Source organism: Homo sapiens, chromosome 1 (assembly GCF_000001405.40).
Source record: "Homo sapiens chromosome 1, GRCh38.p14 Primary Assembly".
Classification (NCBI taxonomy): Eukaryota; Metazoa; Chordata; class Mammalia; order Primates; family Hominidae; genus Homo; species Homo sapiens.
Genome location: NC_000001.11, coordinates 148,229,396 through 148,247,558, shown reverse-complemented (window position 1 = coordinate 148,247,558; position 18,163 = coordinate 148,229,396). Strand labels below are relative to the sequence as shown.

The window sequence follows — 18,163 nt, the reverse complement described above, 5'->3', positions numbered from 1 at the left end:
GCCACTGTGCTCCAGCCTGAGAGACAGAATGAGACCCTGTCATAAAAACTAAAAATAAAAATTAAAAAGCCTGTAATGTAGCAGTGGCACCTCTAGTTCTCTACACTATAGAAATATCAGTGGTCAAAGATATATGTACAAGAATGATGGTTTCAAGATTCTTTGTAGTCCTAAAATCATGAAGCCAATCTCTTCAAACACATTTTGAAAAGGGTTAAGTAAATCATGTACCAACTGAGGGGGGAAATGCTGTTTTCAAAAATGATGGAGAGGATTATTATGATGATCAATGATTCCACTGGTCGCATTATTGATTGAGCAATCACTAAATCCAGGCCCATCCTGGGGATAGGACACCTCTCTAGGCCTCCTATTAAAAATGAAAAAAATGGAAGCTGGTCTATAATCCATCCAAGCCTATAAGGGGCAGGCATGAGGATTTTATCGCACCAGAAGTGACTTGTTTGGTCTCTGATTCTTGCACTCAGGCACAAGACAACCTGACATTTCAGGAGATGGTCTGTCAGAATTGGATCTCTGAGTGGGGTGGCTCTTGATAGGGATCCCTGTTAACTGTGACTAGAATCCTGAGAAGAGAAAAACCTTCCTGAAATGGGCATATCCCTGGCTGGCCTGGAACCAACCTTTCGGACTTAGGACTATGGGAAGAATAGGGGGAGATTCTCTAGTGATGATAATACATGAATGCTTTAAAAGCTAGAACAGGCGTCCCTGGGTGGTCTTGAACTACTCACCGTTCGGTTAATAGCCGAACGCTCTGACCGATTGCGCCACAGAGACAGGTACTAGCGATTCCACTGGGCGCTATAGGCAGGGCGCACTCACCGAACTCCCCAATCCCTTCCAGCCTCAGAGCCCGCCTGGCAGGACTACTGAGCAAGGCCTTGGAAAATCGGAGCGATTAGAGCGGTGAGTCGCGCTGGTCACACTGCACACCTGCGGGTTGGGAGATTCTGGAGCCAGAAGGAGAGCCGAATGGCCTTCGCCCGCCCTGCCCCTCGTCCGCTTCAGAAATCCCCGGAAACGCCCCGGTCCGCGATCCGGGCCCGAGCAGCCAGGGGGCCCAAGGGAAGCTGAACGCCGGGTGAGCTACCCGGATGGCTCTTCCGGTTCTTTGTGCGGCCTTCACCCAGTGAGGGAGCCTGTGCCCCCTGCCCAGTCGCTTTCGGGGCGCTGAGGAGCTTCCGCTGCCATCTTCGGATGCTGTGTCCCGCACGGAGGGTCCACCAGGGCAGGGATAGTGGTGAGGGTCGCTCGTGGATCCCCTCGCGGGGAGCAGGGTCTGGCACACACCAGGGCGCAGGATTAGGACTTGTTGAATGAATCCATCGTGGCCTTTATCTTTTAGTCCTCTGAAGAGCGTTGAGAATGGAAATCATAAGATATTTTTTCCATTAGGAAGTTCTTTTTACAAGGCGTTTATTCAGGTTGACTTCTCGGCACCCCGCGGGGCGGGCAACGGGCAGGGCCTCCAGTGCACCTTCTGCGCAGTGGAGCCGCGGGGGCCCAGCTGGGCGGTGGTCGGGTCGTGAGGCGGGAGGGCGGGAGCGGGGGAAGGGAAAAGCAAAAGCGGGGAAAGAAGCCGGGGAGCGGTGGACCAGACATTCAGACCTCCTGAAAGGCTCGTGCGGAGGCAGAGGCGGGATCTTCCGGAGGTGAGAATTGTTTTGTTATTGTAGCAGAATGGGGAGGAATTGAGGGGAAAATGGAGATAGAACCTGAAAGAGCCCCAAACGCGAGAACGTGTAGCTCCCCAAGTGTAAGATCTCACAGAAGAACTAGACTGAAAACTAGGCGTCTGGGAAGCCTGAAATCCTTGGAGGAGTGGCATCATCATGACCCTCTGTGTTCTCACTTATAAGTGGGAGCTGAATGATGAGAATACATGGACAGATAGAGTGGGGGTGGGGACAACACACACTCGAGCCTGCCAGAGGGTAGGGCTGGGAAGAGGGAGAGCATCAGAAAGAGGAGCTAATGGATGCTGGGATTAGTACCTGGGTGGTGGGATGATCTGTGCAGCAAACCACCATGGCACAGGTTTATCTATGGAACAAACCTGCACATCCTGCACGTGTACCCCTGAAATTAAAGTAAAAATTGGAAATAAAACATTTAAAAAGAAAAGAAAACAAACAACAACAACAAAAAAGAGTGGTGCAAATCTGTACCAGGCTTATTGTAAACAAAAGAATGAGAATGAAAACATGGATATCAGACAAAGGGAAATGGCAAAAGAACGCTTTACATTAGCTAGAGGAGTAATATCCTAGCATCTAACTAGAATAGAATGGAATCGAATGGAATTGTTTTTCCCTGAACTGGCCTCCTTGGGTGGCCGACGAGGGCGAGGTGAAGGGAAGACATCTTGGAGTGAAATGTCCGTTTCTTCGCTCTTGTTTTGGTCTCTGTAAGGCATAAGAAGTTAAAAGCAAGATCTGATCCCTGGCATTTTCCAGGAATTTGAAATAGGTACATGAGGAGAGAAGCTCAATTATTACCCAGGTCTCTGGGACTATCCCAGGCACAATCCCAAGAGTCCAGCTTTCCAAACCAGGGTCCCTGGGTTCTGAAGGCCTTTTTGGGGAAAGTACTGATGTTCGTGTCAAGGTTGGGAGGAAGGGTTTGGAAGGCCCCAGGCGATGGGAAGGCAAAGAGAAGGTATCAAGAAGCAAGGCAAGAACTTTCCACAGGTTCACGTTGGATACAGCACCGGAGACAAGAAACTGAGTGAATTTCTGGTGTTTTCTTACAGAGGTTTGTTATCCAGTTGTACAGAGTCTATTTCAGAATAAGTCTTTTTCAAATCAGCTCTTTTAATGTGAAGCCATAACTTTCTGGTGTTGCCTGATGCAAATCTCTAATGTGAGCCTTTGCCCTGGGTGTCCTTTTTGTTAATTACATGTTCCAAAGAGAACACGGTAAAAATCTTGACTCCTCTTCCCATCTCCCGATCTTACCTTTTTCCATGTAAAGGCCGCAGTTTTTGCTAGCAGGAGGCGTCAGTGGTTTTAGTGGTGGAATTCCTGCCTCCCATGCACGAGATCCGTGTTCAACTCCTGGTTGGTGCAGCGTGCAGTTTCCGCACAATGCGGTTTTTACATTTATTTACCATAACTGTGTATACTCAGGCAGGTCACAGCCGCAATAATAAACAGAAGGAAAAGGGAACTACTGTATAGCTTTCCAGTTCCTTCTGGAGTGGAATTTCTCTAAGCAAGGACTTCGCAGAGACTGTCTTTGAAGCAGCTAGTGTGTCTGGTTGGTCTCTGCGTTTGCATATTTGGCCCTAAAACCGACGGGACGTTTATTGTCTCTTCTGGCGGATCCCTGAAATACACAGTCACCTGGACACTGATTTCACTGACTGGACCTTGGACAGACCACGTATCGCGGTGGAGTGAGGCTCAAGAAAGGAGAGAAGCTGTGGGGTCGGACAGACACACGCAGTGGGGAAGGGGCAGTGGGTACGGGGGCCCAGGGACAGGGGAGGCGTGTGGGAAGGAACCCGCACGCAGATGAGGGGAGCTGCAGAGAGGGACCTCGGATCTTCCTGTCGAGGAAGGCCCAGTCTTTGGTGGTATCGGCAAAATGAAGGATGGGCCCCAAGTGGAGAGCAGCACGTCCCCAAAACTCATTTCGATTACCCCTGTTTTATACTCCACCAAGCAAATCTTCTATCTAGGGGATTCTTTGTAATACGTCTCTTTAAGCATCGTGCTGGAGAGGCCATGACAATCATTACCTCTGGAGATTTGCGGAGGAAAGCTGGAAAAGGAAAGCCCCGGGATCATCTGGTTTGTCCTCCCCTGTTTTCATCTACTCTTTTCCTCAGGGAAGCTTATATTGTGTCCAGGAGTCGCATCGCAGCTGCGTCACTGGTGGATTAAGATCCGCTGATGGCGGGGCGTGGTGGATCACCCCTGTAATCCCAGCACTTTGGGAGGCCGAGGCGGGCGGATCGCAAGGTCAGGAGATCCAGACCATCCTGGTCAACATGGTGAAACCCCATCCCTACCAAAAATACAAAAAATTAGCTGGGCGTGGTGGTGCGCGCCTGTAGTCCCAGCTACTCGGGAGGCTGAGGAAGGAGAATCGCTGGAACCCGGGAGGCGGAGGTTGCAGTGAGCCGAGATCGCACCACTGCACTCCAGCCTGGCCACAGAGCGACACTCCGTCTCAAAAAATAAACAGCCGCTGACAAATCTCTTTCGTGAAGGGGTAAGAGCCGCAGTTGGCCCATAGCAAGGGAGTCAGAAGCAAGAGCAGAACCGAAAATACTTTTCTCTATGTCGTTCTCTCTCTCCTACCTGTGAACATCAACCTTCCACACACACCGGTTCAAAACCGCCTTGGTCTCTAAGGGAGATTTACCATTTTTCACAGGTCCCGTAAGCCATGTTTCCTTCTTGCTTCTACAGTTTTTCCAGGGCTGAGTTTCAGGAGCTGGTCAGCAGTGCAGGCTACTTCAATATCCTGGTTCAAAACCATTTGTCTGGTTTTGCTAGTAAAGTGCCTCCTAGACCAGAGATAAGACGTGTTCCTTCGGCTTCCATTTTCTAGAGATAATTGGTATCATTTCTTCATTAAATGTTTGGTAGTAAAACCATCTAGACCTGGTGCTTTGTTCTGGAAGGTTGTTAATCATTGATTCAATTTCATTAATAAATAGAGATCTATTTAGGTTATATATTTCTCCTTGTGTGAGTTTTGGTAGACTGTGTCTTTCAAGAACTTGGTCCAATTCATCAAGTTATCAAATATGTGAGCGGAGAATTGTTGATAATCTTCATCTGTTATCCTTTTAATATCCATGAGATCAGTAGTGAGGACCTTCTTTTCTTTTTGTTATTTGTAATTTGTATCTTCTCTCATTGTTTCTTGGTTCACCAGCTGGATGTTTATCAGTTTTATTGATTATTTTAAAGAACTACATTTTCTTTTTGTTGATTTTTCTCTATTGATTTCTGGTTTTCAATTTCCTTGATTTCTCCTCTAATTTTTATTGTCTCTTGCTTTCCACTTACTTTGGATTTAATTTTTTCTTGTTTTTTGAGTTTCCTAAAGTGTAAGTTCAGATTATTGATTGTAGATCCTTTTTCTTTGCTACCATATGCATTGAATACTATGAATTTCTTTCTAAGCACCAATTTTCCTGCACCCAGAAATTTTTTATAAGTTGTATGTTTATTTTCATTTAGCTCAAAATATGTAATTTGCCCTGAGACTTTTTCTTGACCCATGTGTTACTGGAAATGTATTGTCTGATCTCCAGTTTTGGGATTTTGCAGCTATCTGTTGTTGATTTCTACTTCAGTTCCATAATTTGAATGGAGGGCATATTTGGTATGATTTCTATCCCATTAAATATGTTGAAGTGTGTTTTATGGGCCAGAATGTGGTGGATCTTGGTGAACACTCCATGTGACCCTAAAAAGAATATGTATTCTGCTCTTGTTGGATGAAGTAATCTAAAAAGTCGGTTGGATCCAGGTGACTGATGGTGGTGTCCAGTTTCACTACATCTTTATTGATTTCCTGCCTTCTGATCTGTCAGTTACTGATCCTGAAGCCTCCCACTGTAATAGTGAATCTGTCTATTTGTCCTTGAAGTTCTATCAGCTTTTGCCCCTGATATTTAGATGCTTTAGGTGCATATCATTTAAGGATTGTCATATCTTCTTGGAGAAGTGACCTCTTTATATTATATAAAGACTCTCTTTATCCCCATGATTTTCCTCCCTCTGAAGTCAGCTCTGTCTCAAATTAATGTGGCTACTGTAGTTTTTTTGTTTTTTTGTTGGTTTGTTTGCTTTTGTTTTTGTTTTGTTTTTTGTTTTGACTGAGTTTCGCTCTTGTTGCCCAGGCTGGAGTACAATGGCGCAATCTCAGCTCACTGCAACATCCGTCTCCCAGGTTCAAGCGATTCTCCTGCCTCAGCCTCCCAAGTAGCTGGCATTAAAGGCATGCGCCACCATGACCGGCTAATTTTGTATTTTTAGAAGAGATGGAGTTTCACCATGTTGGTCAGGCTGGTCTTGAACTTCTGACCTCAAGTGATCCACCTGCCTCGGCTTCCCAAAGTGCTGGGATTACAAGTGTGAGCCACAGTGCCCAGCTGCTACTCCAATTTTCTTTTGATTACGATGGGTATGATATATCTTTCTCCATCTCTTCACTTCTAATATCTCTGTGTCTTCTTATTTAAAGTAGGTTCGTTGTAGATGACATATAATTGGACCTCATTTTCCATTCTGCCAGTCTCTGTCTTTTAGTTGGTGTACTTGGACCATTCACATTTAAAGTGACTATTGATATCATTGGATTAATATGTACCATATGTGTAACTGTTTCTATTTTTTGACTTTCTTCATTGTTTCCTTTTGTGTCTTTTACTCTTTTTCTACCTTCTCTGGCTATAATTGAACATGTTATATGATCCCATTTTTTTCTTCTCTCTTACAATACAAATTCCATTTCTTAAAAGAAAAATTGTGTTTTTGTTTTCACCCTATTGCTTGCCATATATACTTACAAATAATCTAAGTCAACTTAAAGTAATGTTATGATGCTTCATGGGTCATGCAGGTACCTTAAAAACAAAATTCCTAATTCCTTTCTTACCACCTTTTAAAACATTACTCTCATTCATTTGATGTATTAATAACATATAATCATCCAATCAATTATTGCTGTTTTTCTTATTTTGACAGACGGTTATATGAATTAAGAATAAACATAATAAAATATTTTATTTTTAACTTCATTTATTCCTCCTCTAACTTGCTTCCTTCATGTAGATATGTCTTTAAACTTTGTGGTTTTTTTCTTCTTTCTGAAGAACTTCTTTTAACCTTTCATGGAAGACAAAATTACTGGTGACAAATTCCCTCAATTTTTGTTTGTCAAGAAAGTCTTTTATTTCTCCTTCACGTTTGAAGGGTAATTCTAAAGAATTCTAGGTTAACAGAGTTCTTTTTCCTCCAATACTAAATATGTCAGCTGCATGCTGTTCTTGCTTGCATGGTTTATGAAGAGAAGTCTAATGTAGTACTCATCCTTGTTCTTCTAAGGTAAGGTGTTTTCTTTCTCCAGCTTCTCTCAAGATGTTCTTTTGTCTTTGATTTTCTACACTTTCAATATTATATGTTGGATGCTTAATTGCATGTGTAAATTTGGCTGGGCCATGGTGCCCAGATATTTGGTCAAATATTATTCTGACGTTTCTGTGAAAGTGTTTTTTGATGAAATGAGACATTGAAATCAGCCGACTTTGAGTAAAGCAGATGACACTCCATAGTGTGAGTTGGCCTCATCTAGTCAGGTGAAGGCCTTAATAGTATAAAACCTGACCTCCCCCTAACAAGGAGGAATTCTGCCAGCAGATTCCCTTTAGACTTGAACTGCAACTCTCTCCCGAGTCTCCAGCCTACTCGCCTACCTCATCAGATTTGGTCTCACCAAGCTTCCACAATTATATGAGCCAATTCCTTAAAATCAGTCTCAATCTCTCTCTCTCTCTCTGTCTCTCTTCTCTCTCTCTCTCTCCTCTCCATCTTCATCTCTATCTTCTATTATGAGAAGTGGCAGGTAAAGAAGATAGGAAAAAGAAAACAAATCATGTAATTGTCATATGGAAATATTTGATGTTGAAAATTATAATTTAGGCCAGGGGCGATGGCTCACGCCTGTAATCCAGCACTTTGGGAGGCCGTGGCAGGCAGATCACGAGGTCAGGAGATCCAGACCATGGTGAAACCCCGTCTCTACTAAAAATACAAAAAATTAGCCGTGTGCGGTGGCTGGCGCCTGTAGTCACAGCTACTCTGGAGGCTTAGGCAGAATGGCGTGAACCTGGGAGGCGGAGCTTGCAGTGAGCCGAGATCACACCACTGCACTCCAGCCTGGGCCACAGAGCGAGACTCCATCTCAAAAAAAAAAGAAAAAGAAAAAAGAAAATTATAATTTAAAACGTATAAACCAAATATTAGAAGTGTGTCCAGTTCAAAGGGGAAAAAACTATCAAGAACATTTTAGTGCAATATTAAACTTGACCTATACAACCCTTCCTAAATGCCAAAGGCATACACAGACAAACACACACACTATCAGAGAATACAAATAACTAGAACAAAGAAATGTAGTAAATACAATCTACAACATATGGTAAACATAGCCTACAATGTGGAAGTGTTTAGAAAATAAACTCGGAAATAAAAATGTTTTTATTAATTCGTATCATTACCTGCCAAAACCAATCAACATAATAAAAGATTATAACACTGAATGTAAAAAAACAATTCACCAGTCCAAAGTGATAGACAAAAAATTTTAGTTGTATGGATTAAAGTTAACTGTGGACAAAAATTAAAACCCAGGCAGGAAATTTTTTTTTCAACAACAGAAACTAGCAAAAACAAGGATATAGTAAAAACTGAAATAGAAAATTTCCAGTGTAGAGATATGAATATAATAATAGACACAGGCAGGGATGATTAATAAATGATAAAATGTTTAGAGGATGATCATTAGAATACAGGACATTTATACTCTTGAAAACCACTTTCCCAAATACTTCATTATAAGTAAGGTGTCTCTAAAAGGGACAGGTCTTCTAGATTCCTCCTTAACCAAGTGACAGTCCTAGTATCACGATAATGGTGATGGACAAACTGGACCTTCTCTGCCTGCAGATGGGCTGAGGTAGGAAACTCTCAGTAGTGACTCTGCAGTGTTCCTGGCAAAACGTTTAGGCTGAATTTAATCATGAGGACATTTTCAGACAACTTCAGAATGTAGAACATTGAGCCAGACAGCTGACCTGTCCTCTACAAACAAGTCCATGTCACCACCATCCATGACAACAACAAAAAGATGAGGAGATACTTTCGGTTCAAAATAACTAAAGAAATGTAGCTACATTATGTTTTTACTTTTTTTGAACCCAAAATGTCTCTTCTCCTTTTTGTTGTGTGATTCATGGTGACATGGACTGTGTGAAGGAGACAGGTCAGTTGTCCTGCTCAGTGTTCTACATTCTGCAGTTGTCTGGTGATTACCTCCTATGAAACTCAGGCTAAGCATTTTTAGCAAGAACATGGCATTGTTCATATTCTGCACCGGCAAATTCCCTGTTGTCTACAGGATGGAAGTGAGAGGAGCAGGGCTAAAGCCTCTCAATGCTGTTTGTCCATCTGGCTTTGGTCTTCCTAAGTGTTGATATCAAGTGGAGGCTGAAGGACTGTGGCTTCTCTAACCAAAATTGTGGGTTAACAATTGTCAAGAGCAGTCAGTGGTTCTGAAATACAATCCTCAGCCATGGATCCCTCCTGTGTTGTGTTGAGCTTTCAATTGCTTTGCTCTTTTAGTTTTTTTCATCAAACGAAAATGCTTTTTGTGATATCCTTTCTTTCTTTTCATTGTTCCAGCAGCATTTAGTATCTGTAGGAGACAGAGAAGGAAAGATCAAATGGGCATCTTTGTCAGGTCCTGCTGATGGCTGAGTCTAGAGGGACTGCTAAGTGGTGATAGCCCAGGGGCAAACTGAGCTCCTGCTAGGAGGATGAGCTGAAGGCTGAGCCGAAGGCTGAGTGAAGAGGCAAGTGCCATCCACAAGTGAAAAGTAAATGCCCCTGAACTTCCAGTCAGCTGAGGTGAAGGATATAGGGACCCTAGCTCTGCCCAACCAGCAGCCAGTGACATCAGCCCCTTTCCTCCTGATTCCTTCTGTCTGGAGCAGAGTGATGGCTTTTCACACCCCTCAGTGAGGATGTTCTCAGCATCAACCATGAAAGCTCAGAAACAGAGGGCTGCAGAAGGAAAGGACCTTTTACAGAGAAACCCACTCCCTTACAGCTCCATGTCCCCGTCTCTTAGGGAAGGGTGTGCAGGGCCATGGGAAGAACCCTGGAGGTGAGATACAGGAAGGACCTCAGACCACATCCACATCCAGTTCTGCCTTTTACAACAGAGGAGCAGTGATGCCACAGGGCTGACTTAACTAAAGCCACGTGACTTGCTATTGACAACCCTGAAACTAGAACCCACGCACGAAGTCCCTTTCAATAAGTTGGAGAGAAGAGAGAGTCAATTCTCCAATCTGGAGTTCTTGACAGTCACTAGAGGTTGCTGGGTCACCTTGGCTAGGATAGGAATGAGCTTTTACAAAGAAATATGATGTCACTGCTACTTGTTTTGTCGGTAAAATTAAAAATGAGAAAAGACAAAAGAAATATTATGTGTTCTTCCAAAAAGGATCAGAAAAAAAGGAAAAGGAAAGAGTCAAATGGAATTACAAAGGAAGGGTGGTGATTGTAACCATGGCCCAACTTATTATCCCTAATTCCCTGAAGTTGATTCCATACCTGGTTACACCTTAAGGCATTTCTAGAAATATTCTCAATATCTGATCGACAAAACTCTGAAGTAGAAAGTGAAAAGGATTAGTTTGTGTTTTATTACATTCTCCTCTCCCTGTTATATTTTTCCCAAAGTGGTTTGTTGGGAAAGATTTCTTTTTAGTATTTTATGCCAGCGTCAAGGGTAGCATAAAAAAGTATTCATATATCATCTCTTCCTGAGTTTCAGTTTTATTATTATTATTATTATTATTTCTTTTTTTTTTTAGATAGAGTCTTGCTCTGTCACCCAGGCTGGAGTGTAGTGGTGCGATCTCAGCTCACTGTAACCTCTGTCTTCCAGGCTCAAGCGATTCTCCTGCCTCAGCTTCCCAAGTAGCTGGGATTACAGGCACGTGCCATCACGCCCGGCTAATTTTTGTATTTTTAGTGGAGACAGGGTTTCGCCATGTTGGTCAGACTGGTCTCGAACTCCTGACCTCAGATGATCCACCCTCCTTGGCCTCCCAAAGTGTTGGAATTAAGAGGCATGAGCCACCATGCCCGGCCGAGTTTCAGTTTTTACTTATTATTATATTCTCTCTAGTTGAGTGAGAACTACGAGTTCTCTTTGAGGATTTGGCTGAATGAAAAGAATTGAGCAAAGCAGAATTTTTACACTGCAGTGCTGAACCCATTCATGGGCTCTGGAATCAGTGTGTGGAAATGTAAACTGCAGGATTTATTTTAAAATTGAAAAGAAAGCTGGGCATGACGGCTCATGCCTAAATCCCAGATCTTTGGGAAGCCAAGGTGGATGGATCACTTGAGGCCAGGAGTTTGAAATCAGCCTTCCCAACATGGTGAAACCATGCCTCTACTAAAAAAATACAAAAATTAGCCAAGTGTGGTGGCATGCACCTGTAATCCCAGCTACTCAGGAGGCTGAGGCATGAGAATTGTTGAAGCAGCGAGACGGAGGTTGCAGTGAGCCGAGACTGCGCCACTGCACTCCAGCCTGGGTGACAGAGAGAGACTCTGTCTTAAAAATAAAATAAAATAAAACAAAACATAAAATACAATAAAATAAAATTGAACAGAAAATGCTAAATTTGAATATGTGTAATATACGAGGTATTGTTTTCTGTATACTGGGTTTCAATATAATGACTATTTCTTATTTTACTTGTATTTAAAATTAAGCAAGTGTGCTTTAAGTAGAGAGACTATAGGTCTAATCCACCTATTTTCTTGTTTTTCTTTTTTATTTTTTTCTACATTCTACAAATACTACTGTTGAGAGGTGAATACAGATCCCATCAATGTCTGATGGATGCTCAGCCTTTTGTGTGGAGTAGCCACACAAGTGGTCATCTCCATGTTGAAAACCTGAGGTCAGAGTAGACCAGTGGTCCTTGTCATCTTCGGTTGTATATTAGAATATCATGGAAGTTTTTTAAAGGTACTGATGCTCACATCACACCCCAGACCATTTAAGTGAGAATCTCAAGATGTCAGTTCAAGGCATTCATGTTTATTGAAATCTCACCAGGTGCTTATTACATGGTAGCAGGATTTAGAGACAATGAATGAACCAACCTGATTTCCCATCATTTTCTTTCCTATCCTCATTTCTCTCATGATTGCCTTCATTCTCTGTGGCTCTATGGATTTTAGTCTTTCTTCTGACAATTTCGGTTAAATCTCTCACTTGGGCTGGTCTGAGGCAAAGTCTGTCCTGTAGATAGGTTCTTGTCTATCATCTTATGTAGACATAAAGCTGACCCCTGGACTCACTTTTCTCAAAGTTAATTCATTAAATGCTCTCGTATTTCTCTGTCCTCAAGATTCACCTGAGTTGTGTTTTAGATTCTAACTGAGCTTGTAGAAGTAGATATGTGAATAAAAAGGAGAGAGGTGAGAATGTACCTCGTGGTCTATGCAGGTTCAAAGTCCTGCCCTGCCCTCTGCATCTACCTTCGGCTGAGGTTCCTTTGGAATGTCATAAATGTTCTCCAGTTAATGTCAGCTAAGTGACTCCATGAGGAGCAGGCACAGTCCCTGGAAACTTCATCCACGTTGGCATAAGGTTGCCCATCTGGAGCTGAAGACACACCTGACTCCAGGCTAGTAGGGAACTCTCTTCTGTGACCCAGGTTCTAATTTAGTTTTTGATTTGGGGTTCTTAGTGCTCATTTTTAACACTTCTCATTCCCATGTACAAGGTGAGGGTTAAAGTTTGACTTAGTTGGGTTGCTCAAAAGCTGTCCCAAGAGAAAAATCTGTGTATAAATGACGTATTAAAGCAATGCTCCCAGCAGAAAGGGGCAATGGAGTTTGGGATGCAGGAAGGAAAGGCAAATTACTCAAGCCGTGCAATTCCAGGCAAAGAACTCTGTGTTTAGCAGCTCACACCATGCACTTGGAGGGAGACAAGGAGGCTGGGCTCTCCTGCAGCTGTGAGAAGGACTCTCAGGACAGCAGCAGTGGGAACAGAGCAGAGTTCAGAGAGCAAACAGGTGATGAGGACCAGAAGGGCCTGGCAGGGTGGCAGCCCATGGGACACAGAGGTTAGACCAGACAGACATGACAGCAGCTGCTGGAGAGAACAAATACAGAAGAAAAAAGCAGTGGGAGAAGGAGCTGTCATCACAGACAGAGAGAAATAAGGAGTGAGTGCAGCTAAGAGCCATAGATGTGATTACCTTCGTACTCTAAGCTTGCAGGCCAGGGAATCTGCAGGCCAGTCTCCACTTGCTGAATGGGAGCTTTCTTTTGGTCATCTTCGGTTTTAGGACACTTGAGGCATGAATGTGGCCAGTGACTTGATGCCCATGTGTGTTGTCAGCTGAGCCTTCAATAGCATCACCTTCCAGCTGGTGAGGGTTCTTCATTCCAAGGGAAGTCTCTAAACCCAGCTCTGAAAATGAAACCACACCCAACAGCATTCACTGTCATCCATGATCTTACTGTGACTTTCTCTTCCACCCAAGAGGATCATCAGAGAAGGAAAGCGGCCTTGAACAAGAAAATCCAAGGGGTAAAGGGAAGCCAAGAAAGACATTTGGGTACTTTCTGTATTGTTGATTTTTCATGCATCACCCAGTAATGACAAGATTGCCAGGAGGAAAAGGTGATCCCAACTGGCAAACATATTCAAAAAATTTAGGATTAATAAACCCAAATAGCTTCCAAGTAGATAAGGCAAAGGCAAGGAAATCACACTGGATACAGGCTGTGTTTTGGGAGGGAGGAGATTCTAAAAATCAAGCAAAATCAACGTTAAATGAACATATGAGAGAAAAGAATTGGGAAGACTAAACATGGGATATTGATGAAATGATCATACAGATAGGTACATTGCATATATCTACATTTTATTAAAAATACATGCAAATATGCATAACGTATATAACAGTGACATAAATGCATATATTTATATATAAAAATCTATTGGAAGAAATTATTACATAGGGATGTGGAAGGTGTTGAATTAACATTATAATCACTAACATTACAATCTAGCCCATTGAAATTGGAAAAAATTTTGGAAAAATAAGACTATTGAGAGAGAGAAGACATGGTGAGAAACAAATGCCCTAGTAGACAGCAGGGAGAAGTCACTAGAGAATGAAACAAAAGGCATTCATTCTTTCCTCCTGCCTGGAGCCTGGTTAGTGCTCTGGACTCCTGGGAAAGCCAGCAGGTGAGAGCGTTGGAGCCAGGTGGGTGAGTCCTGACTGGGGATGTGGGAATCCATGGAGAAGCAAAAGAGACATCAGTGGGAAGAAATCAGTTTAAATACTCGAAGTTATCAGGGCACGTGTCAGGGACTACGCATCCCCCGACACTCACTGAGCGTCTTCCATGTGTCCTCTCCACGGACCCAGAAAGTGCTCGTTACCTCAAGTGACCCTCCTTCCTCCTGAGGACATGGGTCCCTTATTCCTCAGCTGGGGGCATCGCCTGACAGATAAGCACCTGGCAGCCCCAGGGGCTCCAGGAGGAGATATTGAGTGGGACAGAGAGTAAGAATGAACACGACCCAGTAGAGATGGGGTTTCACCATGTTGGCCAGGTTGGTCTTGAACACCTGACCTCAAGTGATCTGCCTGCCTTGGCCTCCCACTGTGCCCAGCTGCAGCTAATTTTTTGTATTTTTAGTAGAGACAGGGTTTCCCTGTGTTGGCCATGATGGTCTTGAACTCCTGGCCTCAAGTGATCTGCTCACCTGGGCCTCCCAGAGTGCTGGGATTACAGGCGTGAGCCACCACACCTGGCCAAGAAACAACCATCTTATTTTGTGCTTTTGTTTGGTCCACCAGATCTATGTTTCTTTTTCTCACCTTTCTTGCCTTTCTTTTGAAATGATTATTTTTTCTTACCATCTATTTTTTTCCTTTTCTGTTGATATGAAAATAATGTACTCTTTTTCTATTCTTTGAGCAGTGGCTCTCTGGCTCTAGAAATCACACAATAGTCACCCTTTCCTTAGCAAAGTCTTTTTTTTCTTTTTAATTTAAAGACAGGGTCTCACTTTGTGGCCCAGACTGGGGTGCAGTGATGCAGTCACAGCTCACTACATCCTCAACTTCCCCAGCTTAAACGATCCTCCTACCTCAGCCTCCCCAGTAGCTGCGACTACAGGCACATACCACCACACCTGGCTAGTTTTGTTTGTTTATTTTTTGTAGCAACGAGGTCTCGCTATATTGCCCAGGCTGGTCTCAGACTTCTAGGCTCAAGCAATCCTCCTGAACCCTGGCCTCCCAAAGTGCTGGGTTTACAGGTGTGAGCTACCATGCCTGGCCTAAAGTCTAATGTTAATCAGTACATTTACTGTCCTTCTGGAATGAGTATAAGGACCTTAGAATAATTTTTTTTTTTTTTTTTTTTTTTTTGTGATGGAGATTTGCTCTTATCCCCCAGGCTGGAGTGCAATGGTGCTATCTCGGCTCATGGCAACCTCCACCTACTAGGTTCAAGCGATTCTCCTGCCTCAGCTTCCCGAGTAGCTGGGATTACAGGTGTGCACCACCACACCCAGCTAATTTTTGTATTTTTAGTAGAGATGGGGGTGAGGTGGGTGGATTACCTGAAGTCAAGAGGTCAGGACCTTAGAATAATTTAACAAAACTTCCCTTTCTCCCTAGTTTCTAGCTGGCAACATGGAGTTGCTATACATTTTAATTCTGTATATTTTAACACTCTGTAAGACATGCATATTACAGCTTTTAAGGTCAATATTTATGTTTACCCATATATTTACCATTTTTAAAATTCTTAATCCTTTCTGTGTCTCTGACCCTTTAGCCTAAGTCAGTTGGTTGTGAATTCTCTCAATTCTTGTTTGTCTGAAAATGCCTGTATTTTACTTTCATGGTTGAAGAATATTTTGCTGGCTATAAAGTTCTATAATAGTTTTTATTTTCTATAAGAACATGGAGAATATATTCCCATTTTTCCTTTGGTTTTTATTTTTGTGCTTTAGAAACTTAAATTAAAATTTTTTTTTCTGGACGCTATAAAGATTTTTTCACTTTTTCTTTTGTTTTCTGCAATATCTCAGGGTGAATCTTGGTGTAGATTTCTTTTTTCTTTATCCTGCATGGAATTCTTAAGTTCTATGAGTCAGTCCTCCAAAATTCTCAGTCATTTAACCATAAAAATTTAAATATTGCCTTTGCTCCATTTCTCTCTCTTGTAAAACTGCAATTAAATATATGTTAGACTTTTTCAAGATGTCCTCCCTCTCTCTTATCCTCTCTGCTATATTTTCTGTTTTTGTCTCTTTGTGCTGTAATATGGAAAGTTTATTCTGACTTATTTTTCTGTTCAATAATTCTTTCTTCAGCTATGTCTAATATGCCCTTAAACTCACTCAATTAATTCATAATTTGTCATTATATTTCCCCTTTTCAAAATTATGTCACTTTTCCCCCTCAGTGTCTTTCTGAAATTTTGAAGCTTTTCTTTTCTTTCTTTCTTTTCCTTTTTTTTTTTCTTTTTTAAGGCTTGGTAGGCATAGTTGTTTTATAGTTGGTATCTAATAATCCCAATATATGACAAACAGTCTTTGTTGGTCTGTTTCTACTATCTTCTTGTTTTAACTGGTTCTTGCTCATGGTACCTTGTTTCCTATGCATTTTGTTTTCTTTGTGTGCTATTCAATGTATTTTAGGAATACTTTGAGACATAAGATGATAGTGCCTCTTACAAGAGAGTATTTTAATTTGTTTCTGCCATGATTCTAGAGATGCTACTAATGCAGGACTATCTTAATCTAAGTTCGAGGCTTCAGGTTCCCTAAAAGAGCCAAATGATGAGAAGCTAGGCTGCAAGTCTTTTGAAGGACTGGTTTAATTCTGGTTTACCCTTACCCTGAAGTGATAACCTTGCTAGGTTCTACCTTACAGTGGCAGGTGGTTTATCTGAGTCTTAAGCTAAGGTGGACCCTGAGCTTTAAGTCTTGTTTCCTCTGCCCTGAAAGACCCCCACCTGCCCTAAGCAAATGCAGTTTCACAGTTATTTCTTCGAGATAAGCAAATCTCATTAGGGCCAAACAGATTTTAATATAGGGGCTTCATTTTTTCTAGCTTTTGACTGGGCAGTTTCTTATTCGATTAACTATTTGGTGCTTTTGGAAGGTGTGGGTTTTCAAAAAATATATTTCCCAATTTCATTTTACTTTTTCTCAGCAGAGGGGTTACTCTGAGATAACTAGTCTACCACTATAGGAAATAATATATATCTATTTTTGTATTTCAGTCTTTAGCACAGTTTTGGTCATTCAATCTTTGTTAAAGAATGATGATATGTGTGGCCATGGGCATTGGAATCAAGTTGTAGAAGCTATGGTTTCTTTCTTCAAGGAACTTATCATTTAATAAGTGAAGAAAAAAATCACAAATAAAACTTAAATAATGACTATATTTTCTTTGTAGAAGTGTAAATTAATATACCTTTTTGGAGAAAAATTTGGCATTGCTTATCAAAATTAAATATACTCTTTGGCTAAATTCCACATCTAATAATTTATCTGATGTATACTCCACACATACTTGGACAGGTGCTTAAAGATGTGTATATGAGTACTTTTTATTGATAACAGCATGTTTGTAATACAAAAGACAAAAAGGTCTAAATATCTATTGAGATGGGACTGATGAAATAAATTGTAATATAATGTAATGAAATAATGTGCGGCCATTAAAAAGAATGAGAGAAGATTAACATGTATTGATAAGGAATAATTTGCATGATATATTCAAGTGAAAACAAAGAAATAAACAAGAAGCTTGATAGGACAGTTGACCCTTGAACAATTGGTCGTTAGGGGCACCTACCCCCTCAACACAGTTGCAAATTTGCATATGACTTTTGACTCCCTCAGAACTTAAAAATCAATAGCCTACTGTGGATTGGAAGCCTTACTGATAACATACACGGTCAATTAACACATACATATTTTGTGTGTTATATGTGTTATATACAATATTCTTAAAGTAAGTTAACATGTTATTAAGAAACCATAACGAAGAGAAAATACATTTACTATTCATTAAGTGGAAGTGGATCATCATAAAGGTTTTCATCCTCATCATCTTTACATTGAATAGGCTGAGGAGGAGGAGGAAGAGGAGGGGTTGGTCTTGTTGTCTTGTGGGTGGCAGAGGTGGAAAAGAATCCATGTATAGGTGGACCCACATAGTTCAAACCCATGTTGTTCAAGGGTCAACTGTATATATAATATGCTGCACACATGCATGCACACATATATACACTTGCTTAGAAGTTCATAGAGC

The 18,163-nt window shown here is 41.8% G+C and overlaps 1 long non-coding RNA gene across 1 annotated transcript in view, besides 1 other annotated feature; it reads left to right on the top strand.

Moving 5' to 3' along the window:
- The first annotated feature begins 487 nt into the window (after nt 1–487).
- The window catches only part of LOC101927468 (uncharacterized), a 38,979-nt gene continuing 21,303 nt past the window's right edge, over nt 488–18,163 (top strand). The window contains exon 1 of the long non-coding RNA NR_120331.1: nt 488–930. This is a non-coding gene — a long non-coding RNA (uncharacterized LOC101927468). The remainder of the gene's footprint in view (nt 931–18,163) is intronic.
- Nucleotides 9,107–9,608: an enhancer, noted in NCBI's record as "NANOG hESC enhancer chr1:147710223-147710724 (GRCh37/hg19 assembly coordinates)". NCBI's record gives its function as "activates a minimal SCP1, AML or CMV promoter by ChIP-STARR-seq in naive H9 embryonic stem cells {active_cell/tissue: H9 hESC(naive)}" and the evidence as "EXISTENCE:reporter gene assay evidence [ECO:0000049][PMID:30033119]".